The following is an 18,152-nucleotide window of genomic DNA, read 5'->3' on the forward strand; positions in this document are numbered from 1 at the left end:
TGTGTATTCAACTGTGTATGCTTGTACCTGCTCATTCATCCTCCACACCCACCCCACACAATCTGTCCAACTGAGATTTGATCATGTGAATGCTGAGAAAGGCTAAAGGTTTGGTACCCATTCAAAATGATATTTTTAAAGTACTTATTCAACATTTATTAGATGGAGTTGGGGAAAACTTATTTTCCATTAAGAAAAGTATGTCTCTCTTTATGCTTAGTTAACGAACAGGATTAGTTCACGCACTAAATGAACATATCACTTTTATTTGGGTCAGTCTTTCATTTCACAATTTTGTGGTTTCTCATTAAGGGACAGCATTAGTTATTCATATTCAGGAGGGCAGAGGTAACTCTCACAGATATGGTTACAAAGTTACAAAATAGATTTCAAAGTTCTTTTATTTACTTTCATGTTGTTAAAACATTTCCCATAGTTTTTTTTTTTTTTCAGTTCAGTTTTATGACTTACCGATCCAGGAAAATGCTTGGAAAGCACAGTAACAACTTTTAAACTTAATATTAAAAACAAATAAAATTGCTCATTGCCAATAAATATACCTATGTAAAATACTACTCAGTGTAAGAATTTCAACTGACAGTGACCTGTCAAATTCAGGCAATTCTAAAATAGGATGGTGGTGGTTACACTGTGCAAAATATTCAATAGAGAGAGTTCAGGAATGCCAATAATTTTTTGTTATTATTATCAAAACATTCAATAAAGATAGTTCAATAATGGCAGCAACTCTTACTGTTATCTCCCTCCTATCCCACCTTGGGGGCCTTGTAATAAATTTTGCTTGCAAATTGCCTAAGTGTTATATGTGGAAAGCTAAGTTAACAGGTGTCATGTTTCCCATTTATACCACTGATGTTCCAATGCAAGGTGCCCGGGGAAACTGCCATCCCTTAATCCAGCTCTGCTCACCCAGACATACACATATACCCATCAATCCATCTGTTAGGCATTAAGAATTACAATAGTATAAAGAACAATCCTTTGGTGTACATATTTAAATGTTAAATATATACTGAAGGGTTTGAAGCAAGGATCTGGCAAACACGACTGCATCACACATTTGGTTCAGCCCTGTCTGGATGTCAGAATGCATCCGTCATTTTGGATTTATGTATAATGACAGAAATCAAGTCACGACCCATGTAGTCTCAAAAGGCTACTTAGATGATGATGAAGATCCACAATACTCCCTGAAGTACTGCTGATTCTTCAACTCCATTAAGAATATACATCTCTGACATTTTAAATATCTTAAGTCAGTGATTTTGGCCATCTAGGAAAAACAATGTTGCAGCATGTAATTTAGGTAATTTCAACAGAGCCAGTTCAATCTTAAATCATTATTTCTAATGCATTCTGGCAATACTTTTTTTGTAAAGTGAAATTATACAACACTTCCAGAAACCACAGAATGTGACTTAACAACCAATTACTTGTACAGTTTGCAAAACAAGTAAACCTCCCAGCAGCTGGGAGCTTGGCTGAGAGGCCTAGGCTTGCCCTTGGCATGGTACCTTGCTCTTTTCTATGAGTTCACATTGCTTTCTAGCCTGCTAATGCACTGGCCTTATGAACACAGATTCCCTAAATGCTCTCCAAGAGTCTGATATCACATTCAGGGTTAACACATTTTTTCCCTTGTTGCAATTCAGCAGTTTTTTACAGTCATTCATATCCAACCAATTGCTGTCAACAGGCATCTTCACATATGAATGTTAATAGCATATTATTAAAGAGTTCCTGGTAATTTGTTTTGTGGGTAGAGTTGATGAGGGGTGACTATAGGAAGGGAAGCCAAAGGAAAAACATTTCAACTACTCTGGAAGCTGACCTCTGGAAAGCAGTCAGAGAGAACAGATGAAGGAGCCAGGCAAGCTCTTTTTGAATAAGATGGTGTGTATTACAGCTAGGAAGAGCCAACAGAGTAGATCTCACAGTGACCAGCCCAGCTAACAGCAGTTGAAATTGTTAGTCATGAAAATACAGATGCCCCCTGTATGGATTACCCTCATATTTTCTCAGTCACTAGTTTGAGAGTATCATATTTGAGAGACAGAGTTTTTCTTGATAATTGAGAAAGATCAAAAAGGGAACTGAATTTTCATTGGCAAAAAGACTACATAAATAGAAGCAACATCTTTGTTGGTGCCTACTTGTCATCAGCTAGAAAGGTCCGATTTTTTTTGCAAAAACCTTAGGAACAGGATTCAGGGTACCTTCCAAAAGCGAAAAGTAAAGGCAGACTTCAGGGCTCCTAGAAAGTTTACATCCAAGAATTCCCTATAATGTAAACTTGAAAATTAATGCTTTTTCCTCCACAAGAACTTGTTTCAAAAAGTTAGTCTGGTAACTCATTCTCATAAATTGTTCTTAGTATTTTTCTTGCAGATTTTCATGATATGGTTCCCAAAATAAATCAGTAGCAAGCATTATGATCTGTGCCTTCCACTTCAGCATAGTACTTTGCTCCATAAACATAATATAATGAACATTTATGTATCACTACCTTTCTTACTTTTCTTTACTCACTTCATCATATCAACAAAATGTATTTGATACACAGTTGCAAATAAATATTAAGCTTTACATTTTGTAATAAATATTTCTGAGTAATAAAAATGTTCCAACTGATCAAAAAATTTGATATTTGATGATGGCATTTGAAGAGATGCATGTTTATTAGCTCAATTTAGCCATTTCACATTGTATACATTTTTTTAAAACGTTGTACATGATAAACACATACAATTTTTATCAATTATAAAAAATTTTGAGTGTTATATTTGAGTGATAACAAATTTAGATGAGTTAACAGAATACATACATACCTCCTTAATAAATTTTATTGTTTACTAGTCCATCTTCAAAAGTTCATCATATTAACTACAGTCAGAAATTGGTTCCCAAAGTTCATTATATTTATTACAGTCAAAAACAGTTTCTAGGAAGTCTATTGTATTTATACAATTAAAAATGACTCAACTATTGGGTACAAGGTTTCTTTTAGGATGGTGAAAATGTTCTAAAATGATGGTTGTACAACCTGAACGTAAATGAAAAAATTATGTACTGCTGAACTGTACACTTTAAATGAGTGAATTTTATGGTATGTAAATTATATCCCAATAAAGCTATTTTTAAAATGGGTCAATCAAGGACACTAAGAGTTGTTTATTTGAAAAGTTCAAAAAAATTGACAAACCATTAGCTAGATCAAGAAAAAACTCAAATCAAATCAGAAATGAAAGAGGAGGGATTATAACTGATGCCACAGAAATTAAAAGGATAAGAGGCTACTATGAAAAATTATATGCCAACAAATTAGATAATCCAAAAGAAATGGATTAATTCCTAGAAACATACAACCTACCAAGACTGAACCATAAATAGAAGGTCTTAACAGACCTATAAGTAGTAAGAAGATTAAATCTACTAAAATACCAAAAATTAGCCGGGCATGGTGGTAGGTGCCTGTAGTCCCAGCTACTCGGGAGGCTGAGGCACAATAATCGCTTGAGCCCCGGAGGCGGAGGTTGCAGTGAGCCGCCGAGATCATGCCACTGCATTCCAGCTTGGGCTACAAAATAAGACTCTCTCAAAAAAAAAATAAATAAATAAATAAAGGAGGTATATCTCATTTTACCCATTTCATTCCACAATAATGAAAAATAAAAGTGTCAGCTGTCCTAGGAATGCAGAATATAAAAGGTGGGGCAACAGGGCATGTGGTGCTTTCCTTAGTTTACTTTGACAATAAAAACTCCTATCTCTGTTGCTGCTGGAATAGCATTTATTGGAAATCAGCCTCTCAACAGTCCTCACCCATCAGGAACAGGAATCTGCCATTAGCTTGACAGCATACAGAGCACCATATCAGGGTTACTATGGGAAGACTCTATTGTGGCATCAGAAACACAAAAAACACTGGATACAGTTAGTTTCTGTTGACAGTTTCAGAAGAAAATCCCACAGATTGGACAGGCTGCCTGCTGAAAGGGTTGTCACTACACACAGCATGCCCTGAACCCTGGAATGAAGTTACCCCTATCTGTGTGATCAGGAACTGAACAACTCTGAGGCTCTTTTTCTAAGCTCTTAGATTCCTGCAAGAACCTCACACTTACCTCCTCACCTGGCTTTGGACCTCAAGCTAAAAGTGCAAACAGTCTGCCTACTTTCCCCATAAACATTTCCCCAAAATAAAGGGCTTTTTTTTTTTTTTTTAGCACTTGCTTACTTGTGTTCTCACTTTCTCTGTCTTCCTCTCCCTCCCTCCTTCTCTCCCTGCTCACTGTCATCAGCTGGGTCCCAATCCAGTTTCTACACCTACATTCATGACTAATGACCCACCAGCAGCCCCTAAGAGCCACTAGGCTGTAATGAACATTTTCCTACCAGTTACATGTGGTAGGTCTGGGAGGAGCCCCCCATTTCCAATGAGGGTATGTTAAATACAGTTAGAATGATGCGGGATGTGGACTCTGGAGCCTTGCTACATACAAAATGTGGTCTGAGGACCAGCAACAAGGCATCATGTGAGAACTTGCTAAGTATGCAGAACCTTAGACCCCACCCCAGAACTACTGAATCAGAACATGCATTTTAACAAGATCTCTTGGTGATCTGAATGTACATTAAAGTTTGAGGAGCCTTGGTATAAAATTTGAATATATTTTGAGAGAAGACTGTGGAATTTGGTGGGGGATGGGGAAGTGGTAGGATTCTTATGTACAGGGCTATTTACAGAGAAAACAAATAACATTCATTAAATACTGAATAATTTACTTTCTTTAAAATAAGAGGAATAAATAAATCCAATTACTATATGTATAGGGCCTTGAGACATCAGTGAGCTTAAGGAATCTTCAGCAGTAAGGCTTAAATACCTATTCTTATTCTTTGTATTTTAATAAATCTGTTTGCATAAGAGCTTTAAATTGTATCAGTGACAAGTAGGTATGTTTTCATAATGGAATAATAGTGAGCAATAACGCCCCCCAAAAGAGGCGGAGCAAGGCATAAGTAAACAAAATGTATGTGTGTCGCATACATTTCAACAGGTGAATCCAGCATGGCATGATGGAAACTTAAGTTCCGGGGCCCACACAGGCCCCTTCCAAGGACCAGGAACTAACTTTGCATTCAAAATTTTGTTCTCTCTTCTTACAGACAGCCTCAAAAATTACATAATCTTAAAACTTCACAAAACCTGGAACCATGCCTGATCTAATTAATCATGAAAACTCTTCTTAAGTTTATTATTATTATTATAATACTTTAAGTTCTGGGATACATGTGCATAGAACGTGCAGTTTTGTTACATAGGTATACACGTGCTATGGTGGTTTGCTGCACCCATCAATCCGTCATATGCATCAGGCATTTCTCCTAATGCTATCCCTCCCCTAGCCCCTCACCCCCCGACAGGCCCTGGTGTGTGATGTTCCCCTCCCTGTGTCCATGTGTTCTCTTTGTTCAACTCCCACTTATGAGTGAGGACATGCGGTGTTCAGTTTTCTGTTCCTGTGTTAGTTTGCTGAGAATGATGGTTTCCAGCTACATCCATGTCCCTGCAAAGTACATGAACTCGTCCTTTTTTTGTGGCTGCATAGTATTCCAGGGTGTATATGTGCCACATTTTCTTTATCCAGTCTATCACTGATAGGCATTTGGGTTGGTTCCAAGCCTTTGCTATTGTGAACAGTGCTGCAATAAACATACGTGTGCTTGTGTCTTTAAGTTTGACATTATATATATATATCTATATAGATAGATATCTATAGATCTATAGATATCTATCTATCTAGATATCTATATAGATAGATATCTATCTATCTATCTATCTATCTATCTATATATATATATATATATTTTTTTTTTTTTTTTAGGACGGAGTCTTACTCTGTTGCCCAGGCTGGAGTGCAGTGGTGTGATCTCGGCTCACTGGAACCTCTAACTCCTGGGTTCAAGCAATCCTCCCACCTCAGCCTCCCAAGTAGCTGGGAGTACAGGTGCCGCCACCACACCTGGTTAATTTTTGTATTTTTAGTAGAGATGGGGTTTCGCCATGTTGGCCAGGCTGGTCTAAAACTCCTGATCTCAGGTGATCCTCCCGCCTCAGCCTCCCAAAGTGCTGGGGTTACAGACACGAGCCACCATACCCAGCCGACATATAATATTTTTAAATCCTTTCAATACACTGGGAAACATTTAGAATTATATCACTATCATTCAAACTACAAATGAAAATAACAATTTAATTGACACATGACCTAGGAATAATTCTGCTCATGTGTAAGAAAAACTGTTTGTAATGATATGGTTCATATCTTACTCTTCTTTCCATGTTATCATTTAACATGATTAAATTTAACAAATATATCGTTTGTTGACATTTCTCTCTCTTCCCTTCTTCTTTTCCTCCTATTTTAACTTAAAAACCTAACTACTGCAGAGGTGGGGAGGTACTAGAGGAAATATCCAAAAATGTTCCTCAGGAATTTTTGTTTAATTTTGTTTTATTATTTTCCTCAGGTTTGAAACTCATATCTACTTACATTTTTTAAAGAATGCAAAAGGTAAAACAAGTAAACACACACACACACATATACATACATACACATATTAAAAAGATAAATTCTGGTGACATTTTAGTGACTAGTATTTCAAACTATTTAGGTAAGATGTTAACAGTGTGGTTTTGAGAGTTACATGTGAGTGTATGTATGAACATATACATAACTGTATGAGAGAGAGATCTAGAAATTGCTGTCCTGCCCACCAAACCACTGATACACCTTTTTCATACAGTTAAAGTAGCTGTGCCTCATCATGAGCTAGAATGTATTCCGTATGTATGGTTATCAATATAAACAATCTGCCAATGCTGGGCATTCCGTGTGTTTCTGATTTTCATTTTATAAATGAAGCTGCTATGGATATCCTTATGCACGCTCCCTCTTGCTCTTTCCTTATTTTGTCCTGAGGACAAATCCCTGTTATGAAAATTGCGGGATAAAACTTTGGAACACAATACCAGTGTGCCTTCTGAAGAGTTTCATCAATTTACAGTACAATCAAAAGACAATTTCACTTTTAAAACATCATTTGCTAATTTGAGAGACAAAAAAGTCTGTTTTTGTTTATATGCTTACTTTTTAAACTTTTAAAGTAAAATACACATACAGAATAGCACACAGCTTGATGAGTTGCTGTTAATTTATTCCTTTTTATGGCTGCATAGTATTCCATGGTTTATATATACCACGGTTTCTTTATCCACTTGTTGACTGACAGGTATTTGGGCTGGTTCCACAATTTCGCAATTGTGAATTGTGCCACTATAAACATGCATGTGCAAGTGTCTTTTTCAAATAATGACTTCTTTTCCTCTGGGTAGATACCCAGTAGTGGGATTGCTGGATCAAATGGTAGTTCTACTTCTAGTTCTTTAAGGAATCTCCACACTGTTTTCCATAGCAGCTATGCTAGTTTACATTCCCACAAGAAGTGTAGAAGTGTTCCCTGTTCACTGCATCCACGTCAACATCTACTGGTTTGTTGTTGTTGTTGTTGTTGTTGTTATGGCCATTCTTGCAGGAATGAGCTGGTATCCCATTGTGGTTTTGATTTACATTCCCCTGCTCATTAGTGATGTTAGGCATTTTTTCATGTTTCTTGGCCATTTGTATATCTTCTTTTGAGAATTGTCTATTCATGTCCTTAGCCCACTTTTTGATGGGACTGATTTTTTCTTATTGTTGAGTTCGTTGTAGATTCTGGACATTTGTCAGAATGTATAGACTGTGAAGTCCTTTGTCAGATGTATAGACTGTGAAGATTTTCTCCCACTCTGTGGTTTGTGTGTTTACTTTGCTAACTGTTCCTTTTGTCATGCAAAAGCTCTTCAGTTTAATTAGGTCCCAGCTATTTATCTTTGTTTTTATTGATTTGCTTTTGAGTTTTGGTCATGAAATCCTTGCCTAAACCAATGTCTAGAAGGGTTTTTCCAATGTTATCTTGTAGAATTTTTATAGTTTCAGGTATCAGGTTTAAGTCCTTAGTCCATCTTGAGTTTTGTATAAGGTGAGAGATGAGGAACCAGTTTCATTCTCCTACATGTGGCTAGCCAATTATCCCAGCACCATTTGTTGAAAAGGGTGTCCTTTCCCCACTTTATGTTTTTGTTTGCCTTGTCAAAGATCAGTTGGCTGTTAAGTATTTGGGTTTATTTCTGGGTTCTCTATTCTGTTTCATTGGTCTATGTGCCTATTTTTGTACCAGTACAACACTGTTTTGGTGACTATGGCCTTATAGTTTGAAATCAGATAGTGTGATGCCTCCAGATTTGTTCTTTTTGCTTAGTCTTGATTTGGTTATGAGGGCTCTTTTTTTGGTTCCATATGAATTCTAGAATTGTTTTTTCTAATTCTGTGAAGAATGATGGTGGTATTTTGATGGGAATTGCATTGAATTTGTAGATTGCTTTTGGCAGTATGGTCATTATTCACAACATTGATTCTACTCATCCATGAACATGGAATGTGTTTCCATTTGTTCGTGTCATCTATTATTTCTTTCAGCCATGTTTTGTAGTTTTCCTTGTAGAAGTCTTTCAACTCCTTGGTTAGGTATAGTCCTAAATTTTTTTTTTTTTTTTTTTTGCAGCTATTGTAAAAGTGGTTGAGTTCTTGATTTGATTTTCTAGCCACTGTTGGTGTATGGAAGAACTACTGATTTGTGTATATTAATCTTGTATCTGGAAACTTCGCTGGATTCTTTTATCAGTTCTAGAACCTTTCTGGAGGAGTCCTTAGGGTTTTCAAGGTAAACAATCATATCATCAGCAAACAGTGACAGTTTGACTTCTTCTTTACTGATTTGGATGCCCTTTATTTCTTTCTCTTGTCTGATTGCTCTGGCTAGGACTTCCAGTACTATGTTGAAGAGTGGTGGTGAGAGTGGGCATCCTTGTCTTGTTCTCATCTTGTCAGATTCTCAGAGAGAATGCTTTCAAGTTTTCCCCATTCAGTGTTATGTTGGCTGTGGGTACGTCTTAGATGGCTTTTATTACATTAAGGTATGCCCCTTGTATGCTGATTTTGCTGAGAATTCTAATCATAAAGGGGTGCTGGATTTTTTTCAAATGCTTTTTTTTGCATCTATTTAAATGATCATGTAATTTTTGTCTTAAATTATGTTTATGTGGTGTATCACATTTATTGACTTGTGTATGTTAAACCATCCCTGCATCCCTGGTATGAAACCCACTTGATGATGGTGGATTATCTTTTCGATATGTTGTTGGATTCAGTTAGCTGGTATTTTGTTAAGGATTTTGGCATCTATGTTCATCAAGGATATCGGTCTGTAGTTTTCTTTTTTGGCTATATTCTTTCTTGGTTTTGGTATTAGGGTGATGCTGGCTTCACAGAATGAATTAGGGAGGGTTCCTTCTTTCTCTATCTTGTGAAATAGTGTCAAAAGGATTGGGTATCAATTCTTCTTTGAATGCCTGGTAGAATTCTGCTGTGAATCGCTCTGGTCCTGGGCTTTTTTGTTGTTGGTAATCTTTTAATTACAATTTGAATCTCACTGCTTGCTATTGGTCTGTTCAGGGTATCTAACTCTTCCTGATTTAAGCTAGGAGGGTTGTATTTTTCCAGGAATTTATCCATCTCTTCTAATTTTCTAGTTTATGTGTGTAAAGGTGTTCACAGTAGCCTTGAATGATCTTTTGTATTTCTGTGGTGTCAGTTGTAATATCTCCTGTTTCCTTTCTTAGTGAGGTTATTTGGATTTTCTCTCTTTTCTTGATTAATCTTGCCAATGGTCTATCAACTTTATTTATCTTTTCAAAGAACCGGCTTTTTTTTCCTTTATCTTTTATATTTTTTTGGTTTCTATTTCATTTAATTCTGCTCTGATCTTGGTTATTTCCTTTCTTCTGCTGGGTTTGAGCTTGGTTTGTTCTTGTTTCTCTAGTTCCTTAAAGTATGACCTTAGAATGTCAGTTTGTGCTCTTTCAGTCTTTTTGATGTAGGGGTTTTGGGTTATGCTTTCCTTTTAGCACTGCTTTTGCTGTATCCCAAAGGTTTTGATAGGTTGTGTCATTACTGTCGTTCAGTTTGAAGAATTTTTAAATTTCCATCTTGATTTTGTTTCTGACCCAATGCTCATTCAGGAGCTGGTTATTTAATTTCCATGTATTTGCATGGTTTTGAAGGTTCCTTTTGGAGTTGATTTCCAGTTTTATTCCACTGTGGTCTGACAGAGTGCTTGATATAATTTCGATTTTCTTAAATTTATTAAGGCTCATTTTATGGCCTATCATATGGTTTACCTTGAAGAAAGTTCCATGCACTGTTGAATAGAATGTGTATTCTGCGGTTGTCGGATGAACTTTTCTGTATATATCTGTTAAGTCCATTTATTCCAAGGTATAGTTTAAATCCATTGTTTCTTTGTTGACTTTCTGTCTTGATGACCTGCCTAGTGCTGTCAGTGGAGTATTGAAGTCCCACACTATTATTGTGTTGTTGTCTATCTCATTTCTTAGGTCTATTAGTCATAGTTTTATAAACTTGGGAGCTCCAGTGTTAGGTGCATGTATGTTTAGGATTGTGATATTTTCCTGTTGAACAAGGACTTTTACCATTATATAACATCTCTGTCTCTTTTAACTGTTGTTGCTTTAAAGTTTGTTTTGTCTTATGTAAGAATTGCTACCCCAGCTCGTTTTTGGTGTCCATTTGCATGAAATGCCTTTTTCCACTCCTTTACTTAAGTTTATGTGAGTCCTTATGTGCGAGGTGAGTCTCCTGAAGGCAGCAGATGGTTGGTGAGTTCTTATCCATTCTGTGGTTCTTTCAAGTGGAGCATTTAGGCCATTTATATTCAATGTTAGTATTGAGATGTGAGGTACCATTGAATTCATCATGCTATCTGTTGCCTGTGTACTTTGTTTCGTTTTGTTTTTTTGCTTTTTAACTTGTATTTTTGTTTTATAGGTCCTGTGTGATTTATGCTTTAAAGAGGTCCTGTTTTGATGTGTTTCCAGAATTTGTTTCAAGATTTAGAGGTCCTTTTAGCAGTTCCTGTAGTGGTGGTTTGGTAATGGCAAATTATTTCAGCATTTGTTTGTCTGAAAAAGACTGTATCTTTCCTTCATATATAATGCTTAGTTTCACTGGATATAAAATTCTTGGCTGATAATTGTTTTGTTTGAGAAGGCTGAAGATAGGGTCCCAATCCCGTCTAGCTTGTAAGGTTTCTGCTGAGAAATCTGCTGTTAATCTGATAGGTTTTCCTTTATAGGTTACCTGGTGCTCCTGTCTCACAGCTCTTAAGATTCGTTCCTTCATCTTAACTTTGGATAACCTGATGACAATGTGCCTAGATGAATATCTGTTTGCAATAAATTTCCTGGGTGTTCTTTGTGCTTCTTGTTTTTGGATGTGTAGGTCTCTAGCAAGGCCAGGGAAGTCTTCTTCAATTATTCCCCCGAATATGTTTTCCAAGATCTTAGAATTCTCTTCTTCCTCAGGAAGACCAATTATTCTCAGGTTTGGTCATTTAACATAACCCCAGACTTCTTGGATGCTCTGTTCCTATTTTCTTATTCTTTTTTCTTTGTCTTTGTTGGATTGGGTTAATTCGAAGACCCTGTCTTCGAGCTGTGAGTTTCTTTCTTCTACTTGTTCAATTCTATTGCTGAGACTTTCCAGAGCAAAAATGTGTCCAAAGCTTCCTGAATCTTTGATTTTGTTTTCCTTTAAGCTATCTAGTTCCTTGAATATTCCTCCCTTCACTTCTTCTATCATGTTTTGGATTTCCTTGCATTGGGCTTCACCTTTCTCTGGTCCCTCCCTAATTAGCTTTATAACTAACCTCCTGAATTCTTTTTCAGGTAAGTCAGGGATTTCTTTTTGGTTTGGATCCATTGCTGGTGAACTGGTGTGATATTTTTGGGGGGTGTCGAAGAGCCTTGTTTTGTCATATTACCAGGGTTGTTTTTCTGGTTCCTTCTCATTTGGGTAGGCTCTGTCAGAGGGAAGGTCTAGGGCTGAAGGCCATTGTTCAGATTCTTTTGTCTCATGTGGTGTTCCCTTGATGTAGTACTCTCCCCCTTTTCCTATGGATGTGGCTTCCTGTGAGCCAAACTGCAGTAACTGTTGTCTGTCTTCTGAGTCTAGCCACCCAGCAAGTCTACCTGGCTCCAGGCTGGTAATGGGGGTTGTCTGCACAGAGTCCTGTGATGTGAACCATCTATGGGTCTCTCAGCTGGGATACCAGTGCCTGTTCTGGTGGAGGTGGCAGGGATGGGGATCAGGGATGCAATGGACTCCATGAGGGTCCTTAGCTTTGGTGGTTTAATGGTCTATTTTTGTGCTGGTTAGCCTCCTGCCAGGAGGTAGCACTTTCCAGAGAGCGTCAGCTGTGGTAGTATGGGAAGGAATGGGTGGTGGGGTGGGGTCCTAGAATTCCTAAGATTATATGCCCTTTATCTTCCGCTACTAGGGTGGGTAGGGAAGGACCATTAGGTCGGGGCAGGGCTAGGCATGTCTGAGCTCAGACTTTCCTTGGGAGGGTCTTGCTGAGGCTACTTTCAGGGATGGGGGTGAGACTCCCAGGTCACTGGAGTTGTCTACCTAGAAGGATTATGGCTGCCTCTGCTGAGTCATTGCAGGTTGTCACGGAAGTGGGGAAAGTCAGTAGTCACAGGCCTTACCCAGCTCCCACACAAACCGAAGGGCCAGTCTCACTGCCACCATGCCCCCCTCAACAGCCCCACGTCTGTTTCCAGGCAGAGAGCAATACGAGTCTGAAAACCTGCCCCAGGATACCTGCCTCCAACTACGAAAGAAAAGGGTTTGGTTTTTTGCCTGCCTGTGGAGTCTGCACACCGGATTTGCGCCCTCCTTTGAATTCTGGCCAGGAGGCTTCTCATCCCGTTCAAATTGTTACAAAGTTCAGCTAGAGATGTCCTTCTCCCTGTGTGGTTTTACCCCCTGCTCCTCTCCTGTTGGATCCCCATGGTGCCAGGCAGGAATGGCCTGCTAGGGGACCCAGTGAGTTCCCAGGGCCCTTCTCACTGTTTCCTCTACTCCTGTATTTTGCTCAGCTCTCCAAACTGACTCAGCTCCAGGTAAACTCGGAAACTTCTTCCACGAACAGACCTTCAGCTTCTCCAGTGGGAGTGTGTGTTCGGGAGAGGATGGTCTCACTTTCACGGTTGGGGCACTCAACAGTTTTGCGGGGTGGTATCCCGGGTCCACTTCCTTCAGAGGGTGTGTGGGTCCTCTTGGGATGGCTGGTTTGCTCTTGCGGTCGATCTGGAGCTAAAATTCACAGTGTGAGTCCCCGCACACTGCTCTGTCCAGAGATGCAATCTAGTCCTGCCTCCCATCTGCCATGATGATCCCGCTCCTCCTTTTCATTGTTGAACACTATTCTATGATATGTGTATATCATAATTTGTTTAACCATTTGCCCATTGAAAGACATCAGGGTTTTTTCCAATTTTTGAGTATTGTAAATAAAGCTGCTATGAATATTTGTGTACAAATTTTTGTGTAAATGTAAGTATTCATTTCTCCAAGATAAATGCCCAGGAATGCCATTATTGGTCTGTATGATAGTTGCGTGTTTAGTTCTTTATGAAACTGTCAAATCATTTTTCAGGGTGGCTGTACCATTTTACATTCCCACCAGCAATGTAGGGATTTAGTTCCTCTGCATCTTGCTAGCATTTGATGTTGTCAGTAGTTTTTATTTTACTTATTCTGATTCATATATAGTGATACTCATTGTGATTTTAACTTGCATTCTTGTAATGACTAATGATGTTCAGCATCTCTTAATAGGCTTATTGGCCATCTCTATATACTCTTCAGTAAAATATTTCTTTGTGTCTTTTTCCTATTTTTTAACTGAATTGTTTTTTACTGTTGACTTTTGAGAGTTCTTTATATATTCTAGGGTACTAGTCCTTTCTCAGATATCTGCTTTGCAAATATTTTCTCCGAATCCATAGCTTATATTTTCATCTACTCACCAAGGTCTTTTGCAGAGCAAAATTTTTAATTTTAATGAAGTGAAATTTTTCCTTGCTTTGATATGAAGTCTAAGAACTTTTTCTATTTTTAGATACCAAAGATTTTTTCGTATTTTTCCAATAGTTTTATAGTTTTGTGATTCACATTAAGTCCATAATCCATTTCGAATTTTTACATAAGGTGTGCTACTGAGAATGAAGTTCATTTTTTTGCCCATGGATATCAAATTGCTCCAGAACCATTTATTTAAAGAGCATCTTGTCTCTAGTGAATTGAATTTGCACCTCTGTCAAAAATCATGCAAATATGCACTTCTGTTCATATTTGTGTGGGTCTTTACCTGTGTTCTCTATTTTCTTACAGTGATATATCTCTATCCATCACCAACCACAGTCTTGATTACTGTATCTACATAATCTCATAAAATTGCCTAGACTAAGTCCTTCCACTTTTTAAAAATTGTTCAAAATATTCCAGTTCCTTTGCCAATCCACAAAGGACTTAGAATAATTTTGTTGACATCCTCAAAAAATATTCTTGGGATTTTGATAGGAATTGCTACCAATATCTACATATCAGCTTGGGGAGAAGTGACATCTTCCACTCCATAAACATGGTATGTCTCTTTGTTTACTTAAATCCTTTTTATTTCTTTCATCAGTATTGTATAGTATTCAGCATGCATTTCTTATACATGTTTTGTTATATTTATGCCTAAGTAACTCTTTTTAGAGCAATTGTAAATGGTATCATATTTTTCAATTTCTGTGTCAATGTGTTCATTGCCAGTATATCAAAATACAACTGGCTTTTATATGTTCAGCTTGTATCTTGCAACCTTGCTGAGCTAACTCCAGGATTTTTTTATAGATTCTTTGATATATTCTATATACACAATCATGCCATCTGCAGATAAAAACTTTTTTTCTTCTTTCTCAGTCTATTGCTTTTTGCTCCTTTTCTTGCCTTTTGGCACTCTGTTGAATAAGAGTAGTGAGATTGAATATCCTTGCCTTGTTCTCAATCTTGAAGAGAAAGCATTCAGCCTTTCACCTTTAACTAAAATGTTATTTCTAGGATTTTTGTTTTTGTAGACTGTCATATATCGAGTTTAAGAAATCCCACTATTCCTTCTTTTTTTCCAAGAATTTTCATCATAAATAAGTGTTGAATTTAATCAAATGATTTTTCTGCATCAATCGATATGATCACGTGGCTTCTTTCCTCTAACCTGTTAATGTGGTGGATTGCATAGATTGATTTTCAAATATTGAACCAGCATTGCATCTACAAAATAAATACCACTAGGTTATGGTAAACAATTCTTTTATATACTGCTGAATTCTATTTGCTAATATTTGCTAAGTATTTTTACTTCTCTATTTATGATTGATACTGGTAGACAGTTTTCTTTTTTGTACTGTTTTTGTCTGGTTCTAGTATCAAGGAAATACTAGCTTAATAAAATAAATTGGAAAGCGTTGCTTCCTTTCCTATTTTCTGGAAGAGACTCTGTAGAATTAGTATTAATTATTCTTCAAACATGTGATAGAATTCTCCAGTAAAACAAATAGGGCCTGGATATTTCTTTGGGGGGAGTTTTAAAATTATAAATCATATTTCCTTAGTAATTACAGTACTATTCAAATTACAAACATAATATTGGGTGAGTTGTGGTAGCCTGTGTTTTTCAAGGAATTGGCCCATTTCTTCTAAGTTGTCAAATTCATGTCAGTGAATTGCTCACAGTATTATCTTAATTTCCTTTTGATGTCTGCAGGGTCTTCAGTGACATATACAATATATTTGGTGATACAGTAATTTATGTATCCTCCCTTTTTTGTCAGTCTTGCTAGAAGCTAATTGATCTTTCAAATAAAGAGCACTTTATTCCACTGATTTTCTCTACTATTTTTCTGTTTTCAATTTCTTTGACTTCTGCTCTTATCTTTATCTCCCTTTTTCTGCTTCAAGTTTAACTTGTTTTGTTTTAGTTTTTTGGGGTGATAAATTATTAATTCAAGATTATTTCCTCATTTTTAATGTATGAATTTAGTCCTATAAATTTCCCTCTCATCACTGCTTTATCTACCTACAAATTTTATGTTGTGTTTCCATTTTCATTTAGTTCAATATATTTTTATGTCCCCGATACTCTGACCCACGCATTGACTAAAAGTATATTATTTAGTTTCAAAGTGTTGGAAATTGTCCTCTTATATTTCTGTTATCTCTAGCTTGATTTATTTGGATCAGAGAACATACTCTATACGGTTTCAATGGCCTTATATTAAGGGTTTTTAAAATCACTCAAGCTATTATCTTTTTTGGGATATAGTCCACAGGCATTTGAAAAAATATATATATTCTGCTGTTATTGGGTGGACTGTTTTATAAATGTAAATTTGATCCTATTAGTTGATGGTTTTGTGAGATATTCTATATCCTTACTGATTTTCTGTATAACTGTCCTATCAACTTTTGAGAAAGGGGTGTTGAACTCTCCACATATAATTGTAGATTTGCCTGTTTCTCCTTTCTATTCTATCAGTTTTCACTTCACGTATTTTGTAGCTGTTGTCTCGTGCATTAACATTTAGAATTGCAATATCTTCCTAGTAGATTGACCTTTGCATCATTATATTATGTCCAGCTCTGTCTCTGACAATTTTCTTTGTTCTAAAGTCTACTTTATCTGATATTAACATAGCCACTCTTGAATTCCATTGATTAATGTTTGTATATCTTTTCTGCCCTTTTATTTTCAATGTGCATATGTCATTATATCTGATGTTTCTTGTAGATAGCATACAGTTGGTTCATGTTTTTAATCACCCTGACAGCCTCCGTCTTGATCGTTTTAGACTATCTGCATTTAATGCAATTATTGATATGTTAGGGCTTCAGTCTGTTATCTTTTGTTTTTTTGTTCTGCTTTTCATCTCTGTTTTTTCTTGTGTTCCAAGTAAGTTAATCATTTTAGAATTCCATTTTGATTCACCTATAGTGTTTTAAATGTATTTCTTATATTTTAATGGTTGCTCTGGTTATTACATATATATGTATAATTCAGACAGTCTATTAGTATCATTTTATCAGTTTGAGTGAACTATAGAAACCCTATCTACTTTGAAGTCTCTTTGCCTTCCCCCACTTAAAATATAGTTGTCTTAAATATTTCCTCTGCATTTATTTACAACCTACATCAGACAGGGTTATAATTTTTACTTCAACTACCAAATATATTTATTAAATTCAAAAGGAGAAGGAAAGCTTAATGTTTACCCATGTTTACACATGCTTTTGTTTACTGTGTTCTTTCTTCCTTTCTAATTTCCCAGAGTCCCTTCTTTTATTGTTTCTTTTCTATTTAGAGAACTTTTTCAAATCGCATTTCTAGGGCAGGTTTAAGGTGACTAAATCCCTTCGTCTTCCTTATCCTGAGATGGTCTTTATTTCTCCTTCATTCCTGAAGGATAATTCCACTGGGTTTAGAATTATGAGTTGATAATTTTTCTTTCAGCACTTGAAAAATATTGTGCCACTTTATTCTGGGTTTCATTGTTTCTCAGGAGAAACACGCTGTCCTTCTAATTGATTTTTCCTGTGTCATTTTTTTTCTCACTTTCAAGAATTTTTCTTGAATATAGTTTTCAGAAGTTTAATTATAATGCATCTTAGTGTAAACTTTTTTGTGTTTATTCTGTTTGGGGTTTCCTCAGCTTCTTGAATCTGTAGGTTTATATCTTTTCCAAATTTGAGAAATTTTCAGCCATTATATCTTCAGGTACTTTTCCAGCACTGCTCTCTTTCTCCTTCCTTCTGGGACTTCGATGCCGTGAATGTTAGATGTTTTGTTATAATCCCACAGGTCTGTGAGGTGCTGTTCATTATTTGCTTATCATTATTCTCTTTACTCTCATCATTGAGATTGGAATTTCTATTGTTATGTCTTCCAGTTATTGATGCCTTCCTTTCTCCCCTTCACTATGCTGTTGAGTCTATCTGCTGAGCATCTTATTTCAGTTTCTGTATTCTCAGTTGTAAAATGTTCATTTAGTTCCTCTTCATATT

The 18,152-nt window shown here is 36.6% G+C and overlaps 1 protein-coding gene across 30 annotated transcripts in view, besides 1 other annotated feature; it reads right to left on the minus strand.

Moving 5' to 3' along the window:
• Positions 1-18,152, minus strand: part of ENOX1 (ecto-NOX disulfide-thiol exchanger 1) — a 573,843-nt gene that overhangs the window by 397,184 nt on the left and 158,507 nt on the right. The window lies entirely within an intron of this gene.
• Positions 12,249-13,448: an enhancer, noted in NCBI's record as "MED14-independent group 3 enhancer chr13:44196698-44197897 (GRCh37/hg19 assembly coordinates)". NCBI's record gives its function as "activates an origin of replication core promoter dependent on BRD2, BRD4, P300/CBP and CDK7 cofactors, and independent of MED14, by STARR-seq in HCT116 cells {active_cell/tissue: HCT116}" and the evidence as "EXISTENCE:reporter gene assay evidence [ECO:0000049][PMID:35650434]".

This window comes from Homo sapiens, chromosome 13, assembly GCF_000001405.40.
Source record: "Homo sapiens chromosome 13, GRCh38.p14 Primary Assembly".
Lineage (NCBI taxonomy): Eukaryota > Metazoa > Chordata > Mammalia > Primates > Hominidae > Homo > Homo sapiens.